The sequence below is a fragment of the Homo sapiens genome, chromosome 13 (assembly GCF_000001405.40).
Source record: "Homo sapiens chromosome 13, GRCh38.p14 Primary Assembly".
NCBI lineage: Eukaryota > Metazoa > Chordata > Mammalia > Primates > Hominidae > Homo > Homo sapiens.
Window position 1 is genome coordinate 99,916,074 of NC_000013.11, and position 25,419 is coordinate 99,941,492.

Consider the following 25,419-nt stretch of genomic DNA (forward strand, 5'->3'; position numbering starts at 1 on the left):
TCCTGGCATGATGTTCTTGAGAGAGCTCCAAAGGGCCACAGTCTAAAATGGCCACTGCTACCAGGTGTGAAGACCCCTGCAGTGGACAACCAGCGAATTCCCCTTCACCATCCCTGTACTTTTAATAATGTCATAACTGCCAAGAGTTTCCCCCAAGGACAAGGGCTATTTCCCTCCCACTCCCAGTCCCAGGGACATTCTCCTATTCAGCCAAACCTGAAGGATGGGACTATGGGTGGCCATCACCCAGCTCATTTCCCCAGCGGTTCCCTGCAGAGAATGGCCAGGTCCCACCCCCCCGATGAGCCTACTTCTCCATCACAAATCACAGAGGCCCCAGACTCATCAGGCAAATAGCCCTGGAGGTGTCACTTTCCTCCTCAGACAGGAAGAGTAGTTGGAATCCTGTCACTCACCCAAGAGAAGAAGGTCCAACGGGCAGAGGACACCAAGCTCATTCCCTTCCTCCCTCTTCATCCCCCAACCTCTCCATCTTTATCTTTCTCCCGATGGGGAGCACCTTCTACCTTCCTTCTACATCTCATCGCCTTCCTAAGTTCTAGTTCTTTCTTTTGGGTTGGCAGACACCAGAGGGCAACATAATCTCACCTACTTGCCAGTTCTCCCATTTCACCAGTAGAGGGAAGAGTTTGAGAGAACCTACATCCACCAGGAGTATGTGGAAATTATTTTGAAATATGGAATTAGCCAGAGCAATAGAATAGCTCTCTCAAAGGCATCCCGTGCCAAAGCATTCTGTTCCCGTTGGTAAATAATCTGTTATAAAACTGGTTAAATGCATATTAACTCACCAGAGCAAGACACTGGCAAAATTTCCCCCCAGGCTGTATTTTGCAAAGAAAGCACTTTCACATGATGTCAGACCTGAGATTCAACTAACACAAGTCACATATTTTCTAAGGTAGTACTGACGCTCCATCCCTCGCCCACCATTTAGTCTTTTGAGATCTGGTTATTATTTTGGTTCACAAATAGTTGGTAAGGCGTTGAGCCCTGACTGTCTCGTTGTTTTCGATACATGTCATTTCAGCAATACGGGTGCTTCCAGGGGGCATATGGGCAAGTGAAGATGAGTGGCTTAGAACTGATTATGCACTGGGTGGCAGAGTCCTTGAGACAATAGGTACCCAGGCAGCCACTGTCAATCTTGGAAGTCCGTGCAAGAGCACACCTCACCACACGCTCCCCATTCCGCCATGCATACCGAGAAAACTAGAGAAGGGTCCCTCCCGGGGAAAAATGTTTGGAAGGAGGGATACAGAAATAAAACTTGTGCCATTGACTATTTACCAAATTATTATCCTGACCAAGTTAACATCAGGACCTTTAAAAAGTAGCCAACACGGAGCCGAGCGATCTGCTCAACCATTGCAATGTGCTCGATTGTTTGGATCTAATGACCTGACCTGGATATTTTCTGCTTGGTATCCCTAGCATTTGAACCACTTCCAAAGCCAGAGGTTTATGGAGCCTTTGAATGCCCTAAGAGTCTGTGATTCTCTCCTTCTTTAGATGGACTTTTTAAATCCTAGTTGCTGAATTTATTCAAGTGAATTGGCCTTCATTTCTTCATCAACACCCTTTCTTTAATAATCTCCAACCAAGGTTCTTATCATAAGATCCAAAATTAGATGAGCATTTTGGCCAGGCATAGTGGCTCATATCTGTAATCCCAGCACTTTGGGAGGCTGAAGCGGGCAGGTCACTTAAGGCCAGGGGTTCAAGACCAGCCTGGTCAACATGGTGAAACTCCATCTCTACTAAAAATATAAAAATTAGCCAGGCATGATGGCATTGCAGGTGTGTACCTGCAATCCTAGCTACTCGGGAGGCTGAGGCATGAGAATCACTTGAACCTGGGAGGTGGAGGTTGCAGTGAGCCAAGATTACACCACTGCACTCCAGCCTGAGTGACAGAGTGAGACTCTGTCTCAAAATAAAAATAAATTAAAGAAGTAGATGAGCATTTTCATAAATCCCTTGAAACAGTGAGCACAATTGTATGTGTGTGTCACATTTGTGGGCTTTCTGGGGAGAAGGCCCATAACTTCCATCAGATTCTCAAAGGGCTCCACGACCCTGGCTTTTCACTATGTATTTCTGACGTTGACTAGACCAGAACTTCCCAGTCAGTGTGCAGGATGGGTTACAGGTGTGTGCCTGAGCTGCTGATCCCTACAGCCCTTGGGTCAGGAATGGCAGGGACTTCCAAGCTGGTCATCTCTTGCCAAGAGCCGCCCAGTTGCCATCAAATATTATTTTCTCTGTGTGCCCCACTACAGTAAACTCCTCACTTCTAACCCCTCTGGCATCTTCGTTCTCTGTGTCTCTTCCTCATCTCCACGGCCTTCATCATCCAGCGGGAAGCTTGGCATCGGCCTGGCTCCCTCTAGTGTAATCTGCACTTGGTATACTTTGTCAAGAAAGGGCAGGGGTGTGGTGGTCTCCCCTTCCTAGAAGCACCGCTACCCTCATCTTGGGGATCTGCCTCACCTGCCATATAGTGGTACAAGAGACCAGCTCATTTCATCGCCTAAATTACCCCTCTCACTCTAATCCCACATATCTGCCCGTTTTCTGTGGTAGCTATCCTTTGCCTATGTGTCTAGAAGAATCTCTATGCCAGTTCCCTACTTGGCTCCCAGCTTTGTTACAAATATTCCTCAGTGCACATTTATGCAGAGGCTTTTTCCAACTAAGACACTTAAATCTTACGCAGAATCCACGTAGAGCCAAATTCAAACACAAATATGACAAACCAGCTGGACATGGTGGCTCAAGCCTGTAATCTCAGCACTTTGGGAGGCAGAGGTGGGCAGATCACCTGAGGTCAGGAGTTCAAGACCAGCCTGGCCAACATGGCAAAACTCTGTCTCTACTAAAAATACAAAAATTAGCCATGCATGGTGGTGGTGCCTGAAATCCCAGCTACTTGGGAGGCTGAGTCAGGAGAATCACTTGAACCTGGGAGGTGGAGGTTGCAGTGAGCCAACATTGTGCCACTGCACTCCAGCCTGGGCGACAGAGCGAGACTCCGTCTCAAAAACAAACAAACAAAAACCAAATATGACAAACGGGGCAGGCAAATTCCCATGACTTCCTGACTAATAGAGCACCCCCAAAATACTGTCACCTTCCAGACCCTGCCCAACCTCCAAACACACAGAGTCCTCATGTTCCGTGACCAAACAGGCCACCCAGGGTTAGTCTGATCACCAGATGCTCAGGTTACAGCATTCTGCTCTCAGCAATTCCATAATTCTGGCAAGCTAAAAAGCATGTCACTCATTTAGAATTAATTTATGATTCAGATATGTATATGAATGACTTCAACAAAATGTTGGCAACTGTCTCCTGCACTTCAACTGTCCATATCAAAGGCTCAATCACTGAATTCTTCAGTATTCTTCTAACCCACATCACAATTTTGTGAGAAAAAACTGTCTTTCTTCATTTTTCCAGTAAACCAAGCTGATAGCCCAAAATGTCAAAGTCAGGTTTCTAAATAGCATCAAAACTTTCTTCCTTCCTTCCTGTCTGAACAACCTGATCCTAGACACAGCCCTGACCCCTCACTTTCTAGTCAATACTTCCTTTCAAAAATATCTCACTTCCAAGAGAACGAGGTTGCTGCTCAGCCATGAGGAACTATAAGCGCATGTTTCTTTTTCTTTTTTTTTTTTTTTTTGAGACAGAGTCTCGCTCTGTCTGTCGCCCAGGCTGGAGTACAGTGGTGCGATCTCGGCTCACTGCAACCTCTGCCTACCAGGTTCAAGCGATTCTCCTGCTTCAGCCTCCTGAGTAGATGGGACTACAGGTGTGCACCACCACGCCTGGCTAATTTTTTGTATTTTTAGTAGAGATGGGATTTCACCATGTTGGCCAGGCTGGTCTCGAACTCCTGACCTCGTGATCCACCTGCCTTAGCCTCCCAAAGTGCTGGGATTACAGGCGTGAGCCACCATGCCCAGCCTAAATGCATGGTTCTTAAATGTGTAAGTATAGTGTTACTAGACAGAAGGCCATGTGAAATAAGAAATGTGAGGTTGAGAAGGATGAGAAGAGAGCCCCAAGGTTTGCGAATTTCACTTTGCTACCCAGGAAAAATTACAAGCCCACAAAGACGTTTTATCTTAAAACCTACCACTAGTAACTCTAAAATAGCATTAATTTTTCTTAGAATATTTCCAACTGTCGTTAGAAAGGTCTTCCATCTGGGCGCTCCTTGAAAGCATGGCTCCTTGAAAGCAATGTCCGCGTTACGGGGCATTGGAGAATATTTAGACCAAGATGAGCGACTTCCTTCCTAATGAAACTGACAACCAGACTGAGTTCAGGATCACTTTACTCAAAGGATATAATCTCGGTAAATCCTTTAAGAAAGCAGTCATATCACGTTTTTATGTATTTTTGAAGTAGGAGGAAATGTTTGAATAAATACCTGAAAATCACTCATGTTGAAACCTATTTTTAAGCTAATATCTGGAGTTACAAAAAACGATATGATAGGATCCCCCAAATTTTAAAAATATAAAATGTTAAATTTTCTTTTCAGAACAACAAAATAATGTGTGGATTTACAAGTCGCAAATTTTTTAAAATCATTTTTTGTTGTTTTTTTTGTTTTGTTTCGTTTTTTTTGAGACGGAGTCTCGCTCTGTAGCCCGGGCTGGAGTGCAGTGGTGCCATCTCGGCTCACTGCAGGCTCCGCCTCCTGGGTTCATGCCATTCTCCTGCCTCAGCCTCCCAAGTAGCTGGGACTACAGGCGCCCGCCACCGTGCCCGGCTAATTTTTTTTTTTTTTTGGTATTTTTTTTTAGTAGAGATGGGGTTTCACCGTGTTAGCCAGGATGGCCTCGATCTCCTTGACCTCATGATCCGCCCACCTCGGCCTCCCAAAGTGCTGGGATTACAGGCGTGAGCCACCACGCCCGGCTTTAACCTTGTTTTTCTTTTTTTTTATTATTATACTTTAAGTTTTAGGGTACATGTGCACAACGTGCAGGTTAGTTACATATGTATACATGTGCCATGTTGGTGTGCTGCACCCAGTAACTCGTCATTTAACATTAGGTGTACCTCCAAATGCTATCCCTCCCCCCTCCCCCCTCCCCCCAATCTTGTTTTTCAAATATTTGCCAAGTTGAAAGAAGATGAAAGGCTGAGCTCCTGTCTGCAGCCATTATAATAGCATATTTTACTATTATTATTCCTAACCTTAAGCATGTACCAACTTTCAAGGGAGAGAGGAAAACGTTTGGGGAAAAAAAAAAAAAAATATATATATATATATATATACACACACACACACATATATATACACACATATATATATACACATATATATATATACAGTAGAGATTTGCAGGATGAAAATAAACACTTCTATAACCACACCTCGAAACCAATGTCTTATTCGAGTCATATATAATAAATATCATACTGTTTTCACTTGATTTGGATATCCAGACCCCAATTTTTCAAGGACCTGAAAAATTATGTATTAATAATACTAACAGTTAACAATATTCCTTATTTTGTCAATGGAAACCATTCGCATTGAGATGCTGGTGATGTTTGTTTTCATTTCCTATAATTTTAATGGCAAAAGTTTGTCCACAGTGTTAAGTTTCCTTCTCCTTTGGTATCTTTCGTTTACTTGAGTTTAAAAGTTTTACTTTTTACTCATGAGTTTTGTTGTTGTTGTTGTTTGTTTGTTTGCTTGTTTTTGAGATGGAGTTTCCCTTTGTCGCCCAGGCTGGAGTGCAGTGGTGCAATCTCGGCTCACTGCAACCTCCACCTCTCGGGTTCAAGCCATTCTCCTGACTCAGCCTCCTGAGGAGCTGTGATTACAGGTGCCCGCCACCACGCCTGGCTAATTTTGTATTTTCAGTAGAGACAGAGTTTCACCATGTTGGCCAGGCTGGTCTTGAACTCCTGAGCTCAGGTGATCCACCCACCTCGGCCTCCCAAAGTGTTGGGATTACAGGCATGAGCCACTGCACCTGGCCTGTTTGGCCATCTCTAAGTAAATAAGAAGTGTTTCCTACTTGACACTAACCTAAAACATTTTCCAACACTGGATTTTCCAAGCTTCATAACCATCAATTTGCAAATAAATCCCCCAACAATCCCATGAGGAAAAAGCCACAGGGACACATGGAAAATGACAGATATGGCGGGAGACTCGGCAGAACGGAGGTCTGCAGGAACCCCTGCTGATGGCTCTTCATTAGCCAACAGATTTTCCTCTTCAAACATAAATGCAGCGCAGGAAAACGAAGTTGAGAAATAATTGTGTATTGAATGGTATGGTGGGTTCCTAGACTCTGGCAGGACCCGAACCCCAGTGATGTCATGTTGTTCCTTGGTTGAGTAAGCTGCGTGTCACCTCCTCTTTGAAGCCTTCCCTGACCACCCTCCCCAGCCACTGCTTTGTGCTCCCACTGGACCCCGTGCAGCCTTCGCTTACAGAACCCGTGAACTGTCCGCACTCATTGGCTTCTATATTTGAATCCCTGGCTATAGAGCAAACACCTTGAGAGTGGCAGTGAGCGTCTCTGTCACTCCCCATCCACTGCCACTCCTGGTCGTCCTTGTAGAGAATGTTGAATGAACAGAAGCTTGGGTTCTCCAGAATCCTTGTTTTGCTCTCTAAATCCCATTTAGCACATTTAGCCTCGAGCTACTTGCCATTTCCAACAAGGATGAATCAAGCCTTTGGATTTTCTAACAAAGACGTGTATGGTGGGAAATACAGGCCATTGATACCCAACATCAGGGAGGAAGCCAGGAGTGAAGAAGAGCGTGGGCGTGCTGGGAGAGGGTGGAAAGTGGGCAGATGGGAGGAGGCAATGCTGAAGATGTCACTGGAGTGAGTGGAAGTCGTGCAAAGGTATGGGGAAGCCACATGGGGATCGGAGAGGGAGTGGGGGATGTTTCCCCCTGTTGCAGCTGGTGCTTCAGGCACACAGGTGTTGGTCCTGAACAACCCATACCCAGGCCGTCTGGGGCCTTCCCTTCTGCCCCGGCCTGCCTGGTCTCTGCTGCCAGAGCAAGGTCTGCAGCTTCCGATCTCCCCGCCTTTCCCAAATATGCACGCCCTGTACCGCCGTCCCAGGCTCCGTGCCAGGCGGCAGCAGCCACTGTGCTCACACTCATGTGTCGTGTCTCTCCTCCCAGGTAACTTGTTTCCGTGTTAACAGGTAATCTTCCTGCTGAGGATGTCAGGCAACATGCCAACCTGGGAACGACCACCTTTGGGGCCAGATGGACATTTTGGTGCCCATGCAATCCCATTGCCAAGGTTACCACCTGTCTTCAAATAGGGCCCACCCAACAGAGTGAAGAATCTAGCGAGCGACCACTTGGTCCTACACACTCGAAGTATGAGTTCCTTAACAGAGGGACAATTATTCAGACTGGTGTCTTTTGTTTAGAGATGGACTCTTTAATGATGCCCTTACAGCCAGCCTCCCTCAATAAGTTACCACTTCGCACCCATTCGGGTGGCTATTTTCAGAAAAATGAAAAATAAGTGTTGGCAAGGATGTGGAGAAATTGGAACCTTTGTGCACTACTGGCCAGAATGTAAAATGGTGCAGCTAGGCACACAGTGGCTCATGCCTGTATTCCCAGCACTTTAGGAGGCCAGGGTGGGAGGATCACTTGAAGCCAGGAGTTCAAGACCAGCCCAGGCAACATAACAAGACCCGTGTCTCAAAAAAAAAAAAAAAAAAAAAAAGCTGCAGCTGCTTTGGAGAATAGTATGGCAGCTCCTCAAAAAATTAAACATAGAATTACCATATAATCTAGCAATTCTACCTCTGAGAATATACTCAAAATAACCGAAAGCAGGGACTCAAACAGATATCTGTACACCCACGTTCATAGCAACATTATTCACAGTAGCCAAAAGGTAGAAGCAACCCAGGTGTCTATTGATGGATGGAGAAACAAAATGTGGTATACACATACAATGGAATATTATACAGCCTTAAAAAGGAAGGAAGTTCTGATGCACACTACAACACAGATGAGCCTTGATTGAAGACATGATGCTATGGGAAGCAAGCCAGGCACAAAAGGACAGAGACTGTATGATTCGAGTTATATGAGGTAACTATAGTAGGCAGATTCATAGAGACAGAAAGTAAGATCGTGGCTGCCAGGAGCTGGAGGAAGAATGAATGGCAGTTGTTGTTTAAAGGGAACAGAGCTTCAGTTTGGGATCATAAAAAACTTCTGGAAACAGATAGTGAGGATGGTTGCTCAACAGTGTGAATGTACGCAATGGCAATGAACTGTACTCTTAAAAATGGTTAAACTGGGTTTTGTTTGGGGTTGGTTGGTTTGTTTTGAAACAGTCTCACTTTGTCGCCCAGGCTGAACTGCAGTGGTATGATCTCAGCTCACTGCAGCCTCAACTTCCAGGCTCAGGTGATCCTCCTGCCTCAGCCTCCAAAGTAGCTAGGACTACAGGTACACACTATCATGCCTGGCTAATTTTTCTATTTTTTTATAGAGATGGCATTTCACTATGTTGCTCAGGCTGGTCTCAAACTCCTGGAGTCAAGCAAGTCACCTGCTTCGGCCTCCCAAAGTGCTGGGATTACAGGTATGAGCCACCACACCTGTTCTAAACTGGTGATTTTTATGTTATGCTTTTTTTTTTTCTTTTTTTTTTTTTTTTTTTTTGAGTGGCTCACTGCAGCCTTGACCTCCTGGGCTCAGGTGATCCTCCCACCTCGGCCTCCCAAGTAGCTGAGACCACAGGCATGCACCACCATGCTTGGCTAATTTTTTTTATTTATTTTAGAGATAAGGTCTCACTATGTTGCCCAGGCTGATCTCGAACTCCTGGACTCAAGCGATCCTCCCACCTCAGTCTCTCAAAATGCTAGGGTTACAGGTGTAAACCACCATGCCTGGCCTGTTGCAAATATTTTATCACTGTAAAAAAAATTTTTAAACATCAATACCCCTTCTTTGCAGCCCTAAACCCAATTTGACTGTCCATGTGCCCTCCCAGAGCAATCATCTGGGGCCTGACACCCCACCCACAGCCCTCCAGGTGCCCTGCCTGCCTCTAGCATGGAGTGGGCCTCTCTGCCCCATGATTCTGGCCATCCCAGCTGGGGCTGTTGCCCATCTCTGGAGGGTTGAAACCTCAGCCTTCCCCACAGACCTCGCAGTGGCCTGGGCTTCTGCCTCTGTGGCCTGTGCTCGTGCTCCAACTCCAGCCCCTAAAGCCCAGGAGTAGACCTTATGAGACACTCAAACACAATTTCCATCTTCATCCTCCGATAATGCCCTAGACATGTGTTCAGTGCTTATTATGGGTTAGGCACAGTACTGAACCTCATTTAATTCTCACAACAATCCAACAAACTAGTTCTTATTGTTACCATCATCCCATTTTACAGATGAAAAACCCGAGGCTTGGAGACTCAGTAATTTGCCCAAGGTCCCAAAGCCAGGAAGGGGCCAATTCAGGATATGAAACGAGCATTCTCTTTCATGGCCCATGTTCAGCTAGGGTCCCACACCATGAGAAATCATTCATAAACTTAAATCCTGACGGGATCATCTTAATGCTTGCCCCCACTGATGCTAACATGCATATTTAGGAGAAAAGAGAAAATGTTTGCTATACTCTGGCTAGTGCTCACTCCTGAAAAAGAGATTGCAGAAGACGAGATGCAAACTAGAAGTCCCAATCTGTATAGAAATAACAAGTCCCCACATGACCAGATCATAATAGCCCACTCTAGGAAATTCCAAGGCTACAGGCTCAAAGCTGATTATTTCTGAGTTTTCAACAACAGCTTCATCGGCCTGTTAGCCTGAAACCCCAGCATCTAATTTGTGATCTTAGGAAAGCTTGTTAGGAAAGCTAGTTAGAGGAAAGCAGCAAGTACAATCCAACTCCGGTCTTTCCCAAACACAGATCGGTGTGACCCAGCTGCCTCACCGGCGAGCAGGCAGCACGCAGGTGTTTAATTTGGAATTTGATAGCTGCCTAAATTTCAAGGTCTCCTGTAGGTGCACAAAAAGTACTCAATGGCCACTGGCAGAAATTCTTAGAAAAACAACCCTCCCCGTTGTTGGAATCACAACCGCCACTTTCACTCCCCGCCTCCCTGTCGGTGAAGAGGCTGTTTCGGCTTGAATTACGGGGGCCCGTGTGGACTACCTGCGGTACCAATACGCCTGTGACAATGGATACCCTTTTGCCGGCCATCCGGTGTTATTTCAGACACTGTTGGACAGATGGGCTGTGTTCCGAGTGGGGAAGAGTGGAAATGTTTTATAGGGCTTGTCAGCTCACTGCACACAAAATGTGTTCTGCCGCGTTTCCAGGATGGGGGCTGAATTGGGGCAGAAGGCTTCTGGATATGAAAAATGGTTTCTTCCCTGGCGTCTTCTCTGTGGTCTCTGGGCCTGGGCATCACTGTGGGGGTCTGTTTTCCGCTGGGTCCCCGCACAGCCCGCGTCTCTGCCTTGTGCTGGGCATGTGTTTGCAGCTTGGCGGCTGTTGGACACAAGACATCCATTCTCGTACTGACACAGCCCAGTGACTCACGCGGGCTGGACGAGGAAGCACAGAGCATTTGACAAGCAGAAACAACTGAATTCCTTTTGGACCGGTGAGGAAATGATACCCCAATGGGCTTATCTCACCATTTGGTTTGAAGTGGGGAGCCCCCACGAGCTCACCATGGGAGGCCACCCGCATATCATCCCAGCCAGCCACCATCATTAATTCTAAGCAGAAGAGGAGCCAGGCAGGTGTTCAGGGAGCGGCAGGAAGAGGTGTAAGGAGATGATTGTTTTGAGACCATACTGGATGTGAAAAAAATAAATCATTCAAACCAAAGACTTGAAGGGAGAGGCAGTCTCATTTGCAGTCAGGAGCATAGGCTTTGGATTCAGACAGAACTGTGTCCAGAGCCCAGCTCCGCCACTTATGCTATGGCCAAGCTACGTAACTAAGCCTCTGTTTCCATTTCTGCAAAATGGGGGCAAAAACAAGACTCCTAACTGATGAGGCTGTTTCAGGAATGAATGGACGATTGTATATAGCACATGTATGTATAAAGCCTGGCATAAACAATTAATGATAGGTATTAATCATAATAGTATTTTTTTTGTAGAGATGGAGTCTCACTCTGTCACCCAGAGTGGAGTGCAGTGGCATGATGGTAGTTCACTGCAGCCTCCAACTCTTGAGCTCAAGCAATCCTCCCACCTCATCCTCCCAAAGCGCTGAGATTACAGGCATAAACCACCATGTCTGGCCAATAATAGTACAGTTTATTTTATTTTTTTGATAAAATAAAATAAAATGGGGTCTCACTCTGTCACCCAGGCTGGAGTGCAGTGGCATGATCATGGCTCACTGCAGCCTCAGCCTCCTTGGCTCAAGTGATCCTCCCACCCCAGCTACCCCAGCCTCCCAAGTAGCTGGTACCACAGGTGTATGTCACCATGCCCAGCTAATTTTTTGTATTTTTGGTAGAGATGGAGTTTCACTATGTTGCCCAGGCTGGTTTTGAACTCCTAGGCTCAAGCAATCCTCCCGCCTCAGCCTCCCAAAGTGCTAGGATTACAGGTGTGAGCCACCACACCCAGCCCAATAGAAGTACATTTTATTTATTTATTTATTTATTTTTGAGACAGGATCTTGCTCTGTCGCCCAAGCTGGAGTACAGTGGCGCCATCTCAGCTCACTGCAACCTCCACCTCCCAGATTCTCCTGCCTCAGCCTCTGAAGTAGGTGGGACTACAGGCACGTGCCACCACTCCCAGCTTATTTTTGTATTTTTAGCTGAGACGGGGTTTTGCCATGTCCTGCCATGCTGGTCTCGAACTCCTGACCTCAAGTGATCCGCCCACCTCAGCCTCCCAAAGTGCTGGGATTACAGGTGTGAGCCACCGTGCCCAGCCTAATAGTACATTTTAAATAGAAGGAAATGAACTTTTCGTTTGTCCATTGTGCAGACAGGTAACACAGAATTCACATTGCGATAGCAAACCTAGCTCCTAAAACAGTGTGGAATCAAAACAAAGGACAGGAGGAATAAGTCCAAGTGCTGTGCTGAAGAGCACAGTGTCCATAGTCAACAGCAACCACCGCAGCCCTAAAAATCACTACGAGAGTAGATTTCAAGTGTCCTCACCACAAAAACTGATGACTATGTATTAGCCAATTTAACCATTCCTCAGTGTATACGTATTTCAGAACATTGTGCTGTACATGATGAATATATATAATTTTTGTCAAAAATAAATTTTTAAAAAACAAAACTTGATGACACCTACTGCCTCAAAACAGACTCTCACCAAGCCCCCCATGACTGTGGCCACCTGCATCAGAATACAGGTACCTGTGACACAAGGTGAGTTAGAGAACCATCTAGGGCTTCCAGGTGCCAGGACCTCACCAGACTCATTTTATTATTTTTTTTTTTTTTTGAGATAGCTCTCACACAGGCTGGAGCTAATTTTTTTTTCTTTTTCTTTTGAGAAACAGGGTCTCCCTATGTTGCCAGGCTGATCTCAAACTCCTGGCCTCAAGGGATCCTCCTGCCTTAGCTTCCCAAATTGCTGGGATTAGAGGATTGAGCCACCGTACCCAGCCCCCACCAGATTTTGTGTTCTGAATCAGATCTTAGGGAACACTGCCCTACCTAATGCAGAACACTTTTTTTTTTTTTGGAGACAGAGTCTCACTCTGTCGCCCAGGCTGGAGTGCAATGACTCAATCTCAGCTCACTACAACCTCTGCCTCCCAGGTTCAAGCCATTCTTGTGCCTCAGCGTCCCAAGTAGCTGGGACTACAGGCACTCGCCACTACAGTCAGTGGATTTTTGTATTTTCAGTAGAGACGGGATTTTGCCACGTTGCCCAGGCTGGTCTCGAACTCCTGACCTCAGGTGATCCACCTGCCTCGTCCTCCCAAAGTGCTGGGATTACAGGCGTGAGCCACCACACACTCGGCCTTAATGCGGAACACTAGTAAGCCCATGTCCCCACGTCATTTGCCTGAACTATACAGCATCGCCATGCACTATGCATGCATCTTCAGCCACCATGTTTGGGATATTTCATCCCAAGAACAAGCTGGACTGGATGTTGTGAAATATTCACTTGGAACAACTAACAGGTATCATATGCTACATCAAATACGAGGTGCACTCATCCCCCACAACAGTGAACTCCACTTGTGAACTGCACCCACTGATGAGTTTCAGTTCCATTTGGACACCTAAAGTCTGCCTATCACAACCCCCACCTAGCCTCCTCCTTTCACAGGACAGGGAGAAATGGCTTATTCACTCCAGCCATGTAAACCAGTACATCAACCAGTGAGTCATGGATGGGGTACTTTATAAGCAATGTGATAACGAGACCCACTGGGTCTGGCCAGCAGGAGACCACAACTAACTTTTTTATTTTATTTTATTTTTATTTTTTGAGAGAGAGTCTTATTCTGTCGGCCAGGCTGGAGTGCAGTGGCATGATCTCGGCTCACTGCAACCTCCGTCTCCTAGGCTCAAACAATTCTCCTGCCTCAGCCTCCCGAGTAGCTGGGATTACAGGTGTGTGCCACCATGCCCGGCTAATTTTTGTATTTTTAGTAGAGATGGGGTTTCACCATGTTGGTCAGGCTTGTCTCGAACTCCTGACCTCAGGTAATCTGCTCACCTCGGCCTCCCAAAGTGCTGGGATTATAGGCGTGAGCCACCGTGCCCAGTCAACTTTTATATTTTTTGTAGAGACAAGGTCTCCGCTATGTTGCCCAGGCTGGTCTCGAACTCCTGGGCTCAAATGATCTGCCTGCCTCCACTCCCAAAGTGCTGGGATTACAGGCCTGGGCCACCACCCCCAGCCCGCATTTTTTTCTTAATGACAAAAAGAATGCAGACATGCAGCATGGCATTCTCCGTGCCAGAGTGTGCCAGCAAACCTCAGAGCTCGCCTTCTTTCCAGGGCCCTGGTCCACACCAGCTCAGTCTCCACCGCTGCCACTCCTCACCTGCTCTGGCAGCCCTATACCCAGGGAGATTTCAAATCCTGCACTGCACTGGGGTAACTAGGAGCACACTAAACCCAGAGTCTCTAGCTTGCCCTTCAGCTTCCTCTTCCGATCCCCCTAACCCCATTGACTATTTATAGACACCAGTCAACACCAAGCTGTTTGAAGACAACAGGCCAGAAGAAATTCTAAGGGCTGCTGTTTCCTCCTACCTTCCTGAGAGCTGCCTTCCAGAACTTCAAGCAAGAGAATTATTGAAACACATCTCACTGATTTATTATTGATTGTCTCTTGGGCAGGCACAGGAAGTACCAAGCAGAGAAGGCAGGCATCACTTTGTGGTCACTGGAAAACTTTCATGCGTCTGCCCAGGTCCCAACTTTATGCCACAAACAGAAGAACCAAAAAGAGAAAACAAAAGTTCTGAGGCTTAGAGGTGCACTGGAGGGAAAGGGCCTGCTGAGACAGGGGTGCGTGCAGGAGCTGCAGCAGGAATGGGAGCTAAACCGGAAGCTTGCTAGGAAGGCGGTGGCCCAGGGAAGGAGGAGGAGGCCTTCTTGGGAACGAAGCCAAGGTCTGCTGTCCGGGTGTGGGGTCCAGAAAAATCTCACCAGTCCACATGAATAAGAGCCCACCAGCAGAAAGACGAACACGGCTCCCAGCTCAGGAAACAGTGACGGGGATGACCAAGACAAGCAGACCCTTATCCTTTGGGCAGAAGCCCAGCGACACACCTGGGCAAAAACATGTCACCAGAGAAGGAACACTGGGCAGCCAGGATGTTGCCACTGCCAGCAAGGCCGTCAGAACCACCCATCCATGGGAGAAAACAAGACATCTTGGGGAAGAAAAATCAGCACACGCATCCACACACACAGACACACACACACAGAGACACACACAGACTCATACACATAAAACACAGAGACACACACAAAGACACACATATAAACACACAGACACACACACACCTACACAAACACACACACAAACACACAGACACACACAGACGTACACAGGTACATATACATAAAACACAGAGACACACACAAAGACACACACATAGACACAAAGACACACACAGACACACATACACACACCATGAGAAAAGAAAAATGGCAACTTGCCACCTGACAACCCCCAAATAAGGCAGAGACGACGCCTCTTTCAACCAGACCTAGGAGGCCTCTTCCCCAAGACCGTTTGTTGTGGGCTGATTTCTATTTCCTGGCGCAATTTATTTGGGAAAAGAGGCCTTTCATCGTCGCTAGTCTAGGAATTGGCCAGAACCATACAGACAATAATAAGCAATACGAGCCTGATTCTGCAGAATCTGGAAAACGCCTCTAGGCTGTCACTCAGTATTTCCTTCCTGCTCGCCAGAATCCTCCATCTTTTGTTGATTAGCTTGGATGAGCCGCTTCTTAGGATGAGGAATTCAATCCAGCAGGAGATCCCGCAGGCCTCTCATGCCCCGAGAATCGCACAGGTGTGTTTGGGCGGCGTACTCTCCACGTGTACTGGGGGAGGGGCATTGTTTTTCTCTGTGGCAGACACGGTCCAGGTGCTTGTGTTTTTCTACTAACTCTTACTCTCCCATCCCCAGCGAGGCATCACTCATACTTTGCCTGACCTGTGTATGAAAGGCAGTAACACCCCTCTCAGGGAACTTGTCAAACCCAGGGCACTTTCAGACCACTGGATAGACATGAGATAAATCAAGTATTCCGGAATAAAAAAACATTTGCGGTGTCCATACTCAGTTAGCATCAATAGGGTGACCTCCTGGGAGACGAGGACCACCAGGTTGCCTAAGGAGGGGTGATGAACCGGCCAGGTCGGAATCGGAGCAAGTCCAAAATCCCACTCTGATCAGTAGTGGGATCATGCTTGTGAATACACACTGCACTCCAGCCTGGACAACACAGTGAGACCCTGTCTCTTTTTTTTTTTTTTTTTTTGAGACAGAGTTTCACTCTTGTTGCCCAGGCTGGAGTGCAATGGCATGATCTCGGCTCACCGCAACCTCCGCCTCCCAGGTTCAAGCGATTCTCCTGCCTCAGCCTCCTGAGTAGCTGGGATTACAGGCATGCACCACCACGCCCGACTAATTTTGTATTTTTTAGTAAAGACGGGGTTTCTCCATGTTGGTCAGGCTGGTCTCAAACTCCCGACCACAGGTAATCCACCTGCCTCAGCCTCCCAAAGTGCTGGGATTACAAGCGTGAGCCACCGTGCCTGGCCTGACCCTGTCTCTTAAATTTAAAAATAATAATAATAAAAATAAAAGATTTGGATGTTCTGTGAGATATATGTCTTTGAGTAGTATTATCAAGCTTCATCTCCCCTGAATACTATTTTTTTTTTGAGACAGAGTCTCTCTCTGTCGCCCAGACTGGAGTGCAGTGGTGTGATCTCCACTCACTGCAGCCTCTGCCTCCCGGGTTCAAGCGATTCTCCTGCCCCAGCCTCCCAAGTAGCTGGGATTACAGTCACCTACCACCAAGCCTGGCTAATTTTTGTATTTTTTTGTAGGGACAGGGTTTTGCCATGTTGGCCAGGCTGGTCTCGAACTCCTGACCTCTCAAGTGATCCACCCACCTCAGCCTCCCAAAGTGCTGGGATTACAGGCGCGAGCCACCAGGCCCAGCCTGAATACTAATTTTTTTTAAAAGACACAGAGTTCAGCCATAAAAGAGGAGATCCTGCCATTTGCAATAACTTGGAGGACATTATGTTAAGTGAAACAAGCCAGACACAGACAACGACTGTATGCTCTTACTCACATATGGGAGCTAAAGAAGTTGAACTCATGGAAGCAAAGAGTAGAACAGTGGTTGCGAGGGGATAGGCCATAGGGAAACGTTGGTCAAAGGGTACAAACTTTCAGTTACAGAAGTTGCTGAGTAAGTTCTGAGGCTCTAATGTACAGCATGAGTGGCGATGGATGTGTTCATTCATTTGGTTGTGGTCATCATTACGCAATGTATACATATATCAAATTGTTACAATGTAAACCTTGAATATATGCAACCTTTATTTGACAAATAAATATTTTTATTTATTTATTTTGAGACAACAGTCTCACTCTGTCACCCAGGCTAGAATGCAATGGCATGATCCTGGCTCACTGGGCAACATGGCAAAACCCCGCCTCTACAAAAAATAGAAAAATTAGCTGGACATGGTGGTGTGCACCTGTAGTCCCAGGTACTCGGGAGGCTAAGGTGGGAAGATCGCTTAAGCCCAGGAGGTAAACGCTGCAGTGAGCTGAGATCATGCCACTACACTCCAGCCTGGGCAATGGAGTGAGACTCTATTGCCAAAAAAGAAAAAAAAGTTAATATTTAAAAAAACAATAAGATGGGCCAGGCATGGTGGCTCACACCTGTAATCCCAGCAATTCGGAATGTCAAGGCGGGCAGATCACCTGAGCTCAGGAGTTGGAGACCAGCCTGGGCAACATGGCGCAACCCCATATCTACAAAAAAATACGCAAAAATTAACCAGGCGTGGTGGTGCATGCCTGTAGTTCCAGCTACTCAGAGGCTGAGGTAGGAGGATCACTTGAGCCTGGGAGGCAGAGGCTGCAGTAAGCCGAGATCACACCACTGCATTACAGCCTGGGTGACAGAGTGAGACCCTGTCTAAAAAAAATTAAAAAAAAGATGACCACAGGAGAACAAGCGTGGAAAGATGTAGAAATTGTTCGGGGCTGTATTAGTTTATTTTTATACTGTTATAAAGAAATACTCGAGACTGGGTAATTTATAAAGGAAAGAGGTTTCATTGACTCAGTTCGACATGACTGGGAGGCCTCAGGAAACTTACAATCATGGCAGAAGGTCAAGGGGAAGCAGGCACCTTCTTCACAAGGCAGCAGGAGAGAGAGAAGTGAGAATGCAGTAAAAAAAATTACCACTTTTAAAACCATCAGATCTCGTGAGAACTCACTCACTATCATGAGAACAGCATGGCGGAGACCACCCCCATGATACATCACCTTTCTCCCTTGAAACGTGGGGATTACAGGTCCCTCTCTTGACATGTGGGAATTACAATTCCAGATGAGATTTGGGTGGGGACACAGAGCCAAACAGTATCAGGGACTATTTTGCTTGTTTGCTTCCACGGACAGTTTTCACAGCAAACTCAGGGGTACTTTAATAAAAAGGGAATTCTAAAGAAAGGGTGTTATCACCAGCAATGTCCTCATAAATAAAGTGGTTTTGCCAATAGATGGCTGTTGCCTGGTTCTCCCAAAAGCACTGCCCTGTAGCACAGAATCGCTGATCAGAAATGTTCAGAGACAAAAGGAGGAGAGGAAGGAGAGAAAGAGGATGGCATATACTGAAGGCTTATAGGCAGCACCAGCTGTTTTCCATGAATGTCTACATTTCATACAGGAGGTGGCTACGTATTATAGCCTTTTTTTTTTTTTTTTTGAGTTTCACTCTGTTGCCCAGGCTGGAGTGCAGTGGCGCAATCTCGGCTCACTGAAACCTCCGCCCCCTGGGTTCAAGTGATTCTCCTGCCTCAGCCTCCCGAGTTGCTGGGATTACAGGTGCGCACCACAACACCCGGCTAATTTTTGTATTTTTAGTAGAGACGGGGTTTCTCCGTGTTGGCCAGGCTGGTCTCAAACTCCTGACCTCAAGTGATCCGCCCGCCTCAGCCTCCCAAAGTGCTGGGATTAAAAGTGTGAGCCACTGTGCCCGGTTATTAAATGATGAAGAAACTGAGTCTCACAGAGAGCAAATACTTTGTCCAAGGTCATGTGATGAAGACCTGATTTGTCTGTCTCCAGAGCCCAGGCTTTGTGCAAAATCATTTTGTCCCTCAACCTACAAAACCACGAAAGTGACAGCCAATGTTCCAGAACGCTAAAGTAGGCAGAATTTTTCTACCCTCTTTTGAGTGTTTGACTGCAATACAACCAGGTTGGAAAAGTGACCTCCAATGTATTCCCAGAGCTGAGATCCACCTGCCGCCCTGGAATGCTGTAGAAATGGGCCACAGGTTGCCAAGACCCGGAGTACCCCCCAGCCATTGGGGTGGCCAGGGTGCAGCCTGGGACACTGGAGTCCCTGGGCCCATGCCCCTTGGAGTGTGAGCAGCTTTGTCATTTCCCTGTGGTGCCAGAAAGCATCACTTCTGTGGGTGTCTCAGATGACGAACACTGGGGAGCAGTCTGCCTTGGGCTCCAAAGGCAACTGCCTAGATGAAAACACCAATGCCAGCACTTCAGAGCCACACAAGCTCACTTTGTACACCTCAGTTTCCTCATCTATAAAACGGGAATGAAAATAGAACTTACCTCATGGGATAGTTGTGAGAATTAAATAAGAAAAAAATAAGACTGGGGACAATGGCTCACACCTGTCATCCCAGCACTTTGGGAGGCTAAAGCAGGAGGGTTGCTTGAGGCCAGGAATTAGAGGCTGTAGTGAGCTATGATTGTGCCACTGCACTCCAGCCTGGATGAAAGGGTGACACCTCGTTTACATAAATAAATTTTTAAGATAAAATTTAAAAATTACCCATACATGGTGGCGTGAACCTGTAGTCACAGCTACTCAGGAGTGAGGTGGGAGGATCACTTGAGCCCAGGAGTTCAAGGCTGCAGTGAGTTATGATCACACCAGTGCACTCCAGCCTGGATTACAGAGTGAGACCCTACAGCTAAAAAAGGAAAAAGAAAAGATAAAAAACACAGGGCTCTCAGTATACTCTCCAGTAGCAATCACTCAACAATCATTAGCTGAGCCAATGGGTATGGCCACACAGCTATGCATGCTGCAACTCCAAGGCACCATTCATATTGTTGACTATGCTGTGAACAGCGCCCCCTGGACCTTGACCATTAGCTTTGTGTTTTCACCAAGTGCCCCTCACAGGTAAGCTCCAATTTACTTATCCTGCCTCATTACCTGCTATTAGCTCCCCAATCCTCAGCCCAGTGAACCTGTCACCCTGCGCTCAAACATAAGGACCCATTCATTGACAAGCCCTTGATCTTCACAAGTGCTCCTTCTGCCTGGAACATTCCTCTGACTCCTGCCTAGTACCACTTTTATTCATCCTTTAAGGCTCCTCCTAAAAGTCACCAGGTCTCAGAAGCTTTCTCGCAAGCAGGGTTGCTCTGTCCTCACTGTTCTGGAGCACTCTGTAAATATTAGAAACTGAGCACAGTTTTGTGCGGCTCACACAGTTCATCTGCATACAAGCCTCCTTTGCTGAGTTAACTGTGAGTTCCTTGTGGTGGGATGGAATCTTATTCCTCTTGGCATGAACTTGGGCTACTTGTGCTTGCTAGAAACACATATGCCAAAGACAGGTCTGAGTAGGACTCAATATCGTCAAAGACAGTTTGGGGCTGGGCATGGTGGCCCACACCTATAATCCCAGCACTTTGGGAGGCTGAGGAAGGAGGATCACTTGAGGCCAGAAGTTTGAGACCAGCTTGGGCAACATAATGAGGTCCCCATCTCTACTATTTAAAAAAAAAGAAAGTTCAGAATACCAGCACCCAGACCAACTTCAGGATCCAGAAAATACCATTGCCCACATCTGAGTACATCTTAGTGCCCTGAGAATGGCACTAAACACACCAAAAGGTGACGGGGCCTCTGAAAGATTGGGGCGTTAACGTATGTTCCCTGACATAACCAAGACAACAGACTGTACGATTATCTACACTGGGCTTTGATATGTGAGAATAAAAACCAGGACATGTAGCCCAGTTTCTCTTTTGAAATTCCTCCCGTCATTCAATTTGAATCTCATGTCTCTATGCTTTGTTTCAAACTAAATATCAAAAGTCTTCACTTCTGTTATCTCCCTGACAGTTCTTCAATACACTGTATTAAAAACTCTCTGAGGACCAAAAAAAAAAATACCCTTTTTTTTTTTTTTTTTTTGAGATGGAGTCTCGCTATCTCCCAGGCTGGAGTGCAGTGGCGCGATCTCGGCTCACTGCAAGCTCTGCCTCCTGGGATCATGCCATTCTCCTGCCTCAGCTTCCTGAGTAGCTGGGACTACAGGCATGTGCCACCACGCCCAGCTTTCTTTATTATTTTTATTTTTATTTTTTTTAGTAGAGACAGGGTTTCACCGTGTTAGCCAGGATGGTCTCGATCTCCTGACCTCATGATCCACCTGCCTTGGCCTCCCAAAGTGCTGGGATTACAGGCGTGAGCCACCGCGCCTGGCCAAAAAAAATGCACTTTCAAGTGATGTTTAGGAGCCCACCGCCCCTTGACGTTCTTCATTTCTGAACCTCTTGGATGCTTCATTAGACAAAGAAAAGTGCCAAGATGCGTTGCTTTTGTGCTAAATACTTAGAATGGATTCCTCTGTCTTATGGAGAAAACAATACATACCCAGATGTCTGACAATAGTCACATAATTCATACCTAATGCCAGTGGGCCACTCCATGTATCTGCACAAACTATCACACACATCACATGTCATTTCCATGCACAGTAATTACAGAAAATTACAGTATTTCCCTTTGCCAAAATACCCTCTCCTTACCTGCCTATCTCACTACATTGGGTAGCGACAGGACACCAATCTAATAGAAACTGTTTCCCTTTGCTCTTCTTTGGGTTATGTAAACAAGCTACAACTCAGGAGCAGGATTTCTGGGTTATTCAAATGCTTCTCTTGTAAATGTCATTCATTCATTCATTCACTTAGCTAATATTCATTGAGAATCTACTATGGATCCTACAAAGTCATTGATGAAAGAAATCCCTGCTTAGCCTCTGCATCAGGACTTCTCAACCTCAGCACTGTTGTTTGTTTGTTTGTTTGTTTTGAGATGGAGTTTCGCTCTTGTCGCCCAGGCTAGAGTGCAATGGCGCAATCTCGGCTCACCACAACCTCCGCCTCGTGGGTTCAAGCGATTCTTCTGCCTCAGCCTCCTGAGTAGCCGGGATTAAAGGCATGTGCCACCACGCCCGGCTATTTTTGTATTTTTAGTAGAGTTTCTCCATGTTGATCAGCCTGGTCTCAAACTCCCGACCTCAGGTGATCTGCCTGCCTTGGCCTCCCAAAGTGCTGGGATTATAGGCATGAGCCACGCGCCCGGCCAACCTCAGCACTGCTGATGTTTGGGGTCAGGGGTGCTCTGTAGGATGCTCAACAGCATCTCCGGCCTCTACCTGCTGGAGGTACCTCCACCCACTAGAGATGCCAGTAGCACCTCCACCCAGGTGTGACAATCAAAAATGTCTCCAGAAGACAATAAAAAAGATTAGCGGTTGTCCAGGCTCAGTGGCTTACACCTGTAATCCCAGCACTTCGGGAGGCCAAGGTGGAAGCATTGCCTAAGCCCAGGAATTCAAGACCAGCCTGGGCAACACGGCAAGACCCTGTCTTTACAAAAAATAATTTTTAAGAATTAGCTAGACGTGTTGACATGTGCCTATACCTACTTAGCTACTCAGGAGGCTGAAGTGGGAGGATCACTTAAGCCCAGGAGTTCCAGGCTGCAGTGAGCCATGGTTGTGCCACTGCACTCCAGTCTGGGTGACAGAGTGAGACCCTATCTCAAAAAAAAAAAACAAAACAAAGATCAGTGGTTGCCAAGGGTTGGGGGGAGGAGGGATGAATAGGCAGAGCACAGAGGATTTTTAGAGCTTTGAAACTATTCTGAATGACGCTATACTGGTGGACATATGGGACATGTATATAACTGCCAAAACCCAGAGAAAGTACAACACCGAGAGTCAGCCTGAATGTAAACCGTGCTCTGTGGGTGACAGCGACGTGTCGGCGCAGCTTCACCAGTTGTAACAAATGCCCCACTCTGGTGGGGGATGTTGATAGTAGGAGGGGCTTGGGGCCAAGCAGGGAAGTATATGGGAACTCTCTATACCTTCTGCTTCACTTTGCTGTGAACCTAAAACTGCTCTCCATAAATAAAGTCTATTTTTTAAATGATTAATTTTAAGCGAGAGAAAGGTCTCTAGACAGTGCTAAATATCCCTGGGGGAAAGGGAGCAAATTATTTTTTACCCTGGTATAGACATTATTCTGCTCTCGACAACCACATTTTTTAAACTGTGGTAAAATACACCCCACATAAACTTACCATGTTGACCGTTTCAGGTGTACATTTCCGTGGCATCAAGCACATTCACAATGTTGTAGGGCCATCACCACCATTCATCCCTAGAACTTTTTTGTCACCCCAAACTGAAACTCTGAGTCCATTAAACAATCATTTCCCACTCACCCCATTCCTCAGACCCTGGAAACTCCATTCTACTTTCTGTTTCCATGAAGTCGTCTACTCTAGGTACCTCATATAAGTGGAATCATACAGTATTTATCCGTTTTATTGTGACTGGCTTATTTCACTTAGCATAATGGCCTCAGGGTTCACCCGTGTTGCAGCATGTGTCAGAACCAGAATCCTTTCTAAGGCTGAATAGTAATACTCCGTTGCATGTGGATAGACCTCATTTTGCTTCTCCGTTCATCCACTGATGGACACGTGGGTTGCTTCCGTCCTTGGCTGTTGTGAATAGTGCCGCAACGAACATGAGTATGCAACTATCTGTTGGAGGCTCAGCTTTCTTTTTTTGAGACAGGGTCTCATTCTGTCACCCAGGCTGAAGTCCAGTGGTGCGATGACAGTTTACTGCAGCCTTGACCTCCCAGGCTCAAGCAATCCTCCCACCTCAGCCTCACGTGTAGCTGGGACTACAGACGCACACCACCATGCCCACCTTTTTTTTTTTTTTTTTTTTTGAGACAGAGTCTCACCCTGTCACCCAGGCTGGAAAGCAGTGGCGCAACCTCGGCTCACTGCAACCTCCACCTCCCGGGTTCACGTCATTCTCCTGCCTCAGCCTCCACGCCCGGCTAATTTTTTTGTATTTTTAGTAGAGACGGGTCACCGTGTTAGCCAGGATGGTCTCGATCTCCTGACCTCGTGATCCGCCCGCCTCGGCCTCCCAAAGTGCTGGGATTCCAGGTGTGAGCCACCGCGCCTGGCCCCCAGCTAATTTTTTTTAAGTAGAGACGGGGTCTCGCCATGTTGCCAGGCTGGTCTTGAACTCCTAGACTCAAGCAATCCTCCCACCTCGGCCTCCCAAAGTGCTAGGATTACAGGCATAAGCCACCGCCCCCAGCTTGGAGTCCTAGCTTTCATGTCTTGTGAGTATGTACTCAGAAGTGGAATTGCTAAATACCTTGAAATGCGATCGTTTTTCCCATCACTTTTTACAACAGAACGTGTGAGGTCGGGGTGAATTACTTGCTAGGCTAGCGGCAGACAGAGGGCAGTTGCCCTGTGGCTGCTCAGCTCTGGGCCGCAGCAGCAGACAACTGAGGGCTTCCATCTGCCCTCTGCCGTGCTCTGCCTAGGGCAAATTACTAAATCTCCCGACCGACCATTCAGTTTCCCACTGTACACAAAGAGGACGATGAAAACGGCTGGTTGCTTGGAGGCAGGACATGTGGTGCTCAGAGCACAGCTCCTGCTCACAGTGAATGGAGCATCAGTACCAGCTCTCCTGAGTCCTAAAGCAGCCCTGGAACACTCCCAGGCCTGGCCACCTTCTCCTCAGGACACGTGGTGCCACAGCAGACCCCGCGTGAAGCCAGCCCAGTGTCTAATCCTTCCTCCCCAGCTGCCCCATCCTGACCAAGTCTGCCCAGGAGAACACTCACCTCCCGCTGCCCTTGCAACTCGGCCTGGCCATGCCTCCCAATTCCAGCCAAGGAACCGAGAGAGAAAATGTGTAGGTGAGGCTGCTTTTCTTAAAACGATGTTTATTTCAGGGTTTGTTTGTTTGTTTGTTTGTTTGAGACTGAGTATCACTCGGTCATCCAGGCTGGAGTGCAGTGGTGTGATCTCGGCTCACTGCAGCCTCCTCCTCCCAGATTCAAGTCATTCTCCCAACTCAGCCTCCTGAGTAGCTGGGACTACAGGCATTTGTCACTACAACCGGCTAATTTTTTTTTTTTCATATTTTTAGTACAGATGGGGTTTCACCATGTTGGCCAGGCTGGTCTCAAACTCCTGGCCTTAAGTAATCCGCCCCAATTCCCAAAGTGCTGGGATTACAGGTGTGAGCCACTGCACCCTGCCTTTTATTTCAGTTTTTGAACAGGAAAGCACACATTTCAAAGTCCCAAGTACGAAAGGAGGTACGTGCACAGTTGGCTCGTTTCCCACCCCCGATCCCTTCTACCTGTCTCCCTCCTCTTCCAGCTTCACTTAAAGGCAAATATTTGCTTTTTTGTCTGCTTGTTTCCCTTGCAAATACAACCGAATGTGTGTGTGTCTATTTCCTTCCTTCTTTTCTTACCTATGAGGCTGCCTATCAGTACAGCTATA

General features: G+C 47.0%; 1 long non-coding RNA gene across 1 annotated transcript in view, besides 2 other annotated features; it reads right to left on the bottom strand.

Moving 5' to 3' along the window:
- CLYBL-AS3 (CLYBL antisense RNA 3) overlaps window positions 1–25,419 on the bottom strand; it is a 216,296-nt gene that overhangs the window by 175,204 nt on the left and 15,673 nt on the right. The gene's annotated exons all lie outside the window — the stretch shown is intronic.
- Window positions 14,648–15,148: an enhancer, noted in NCBI's record as "H3K4me1 hESC enhancer chr13:100582975-100583475 (GRCh37/hg19 assembly coordinates)". NCBI's record gives its function as "activates a minimal SCP1, AML or CMV promoter by ChIP-STARR-seq in naive H9 embryonic stem cells {active_cell/tissue: H9 hESC(naive)}" and the evidence as "EXISTENCE:reporter gene assay evidence [ECO:0000049][PMID:30033119]".
- Window positions 25,122–25,416: an enhancer, noted in NCBI's record as "tiled region #10052; HepG2 Activating DNase matched - State 4:PromP". NCBI's record gives its function as "activates a minimal TATA promoter and a strong SV40 promoter by Sharpr-MPRA in HepG2 cells {active_cell/tissue: HepG2}" and the evidence as "EXISTENCE:reporter gene assay evidence [ECO:0000049][PMID:27701403]".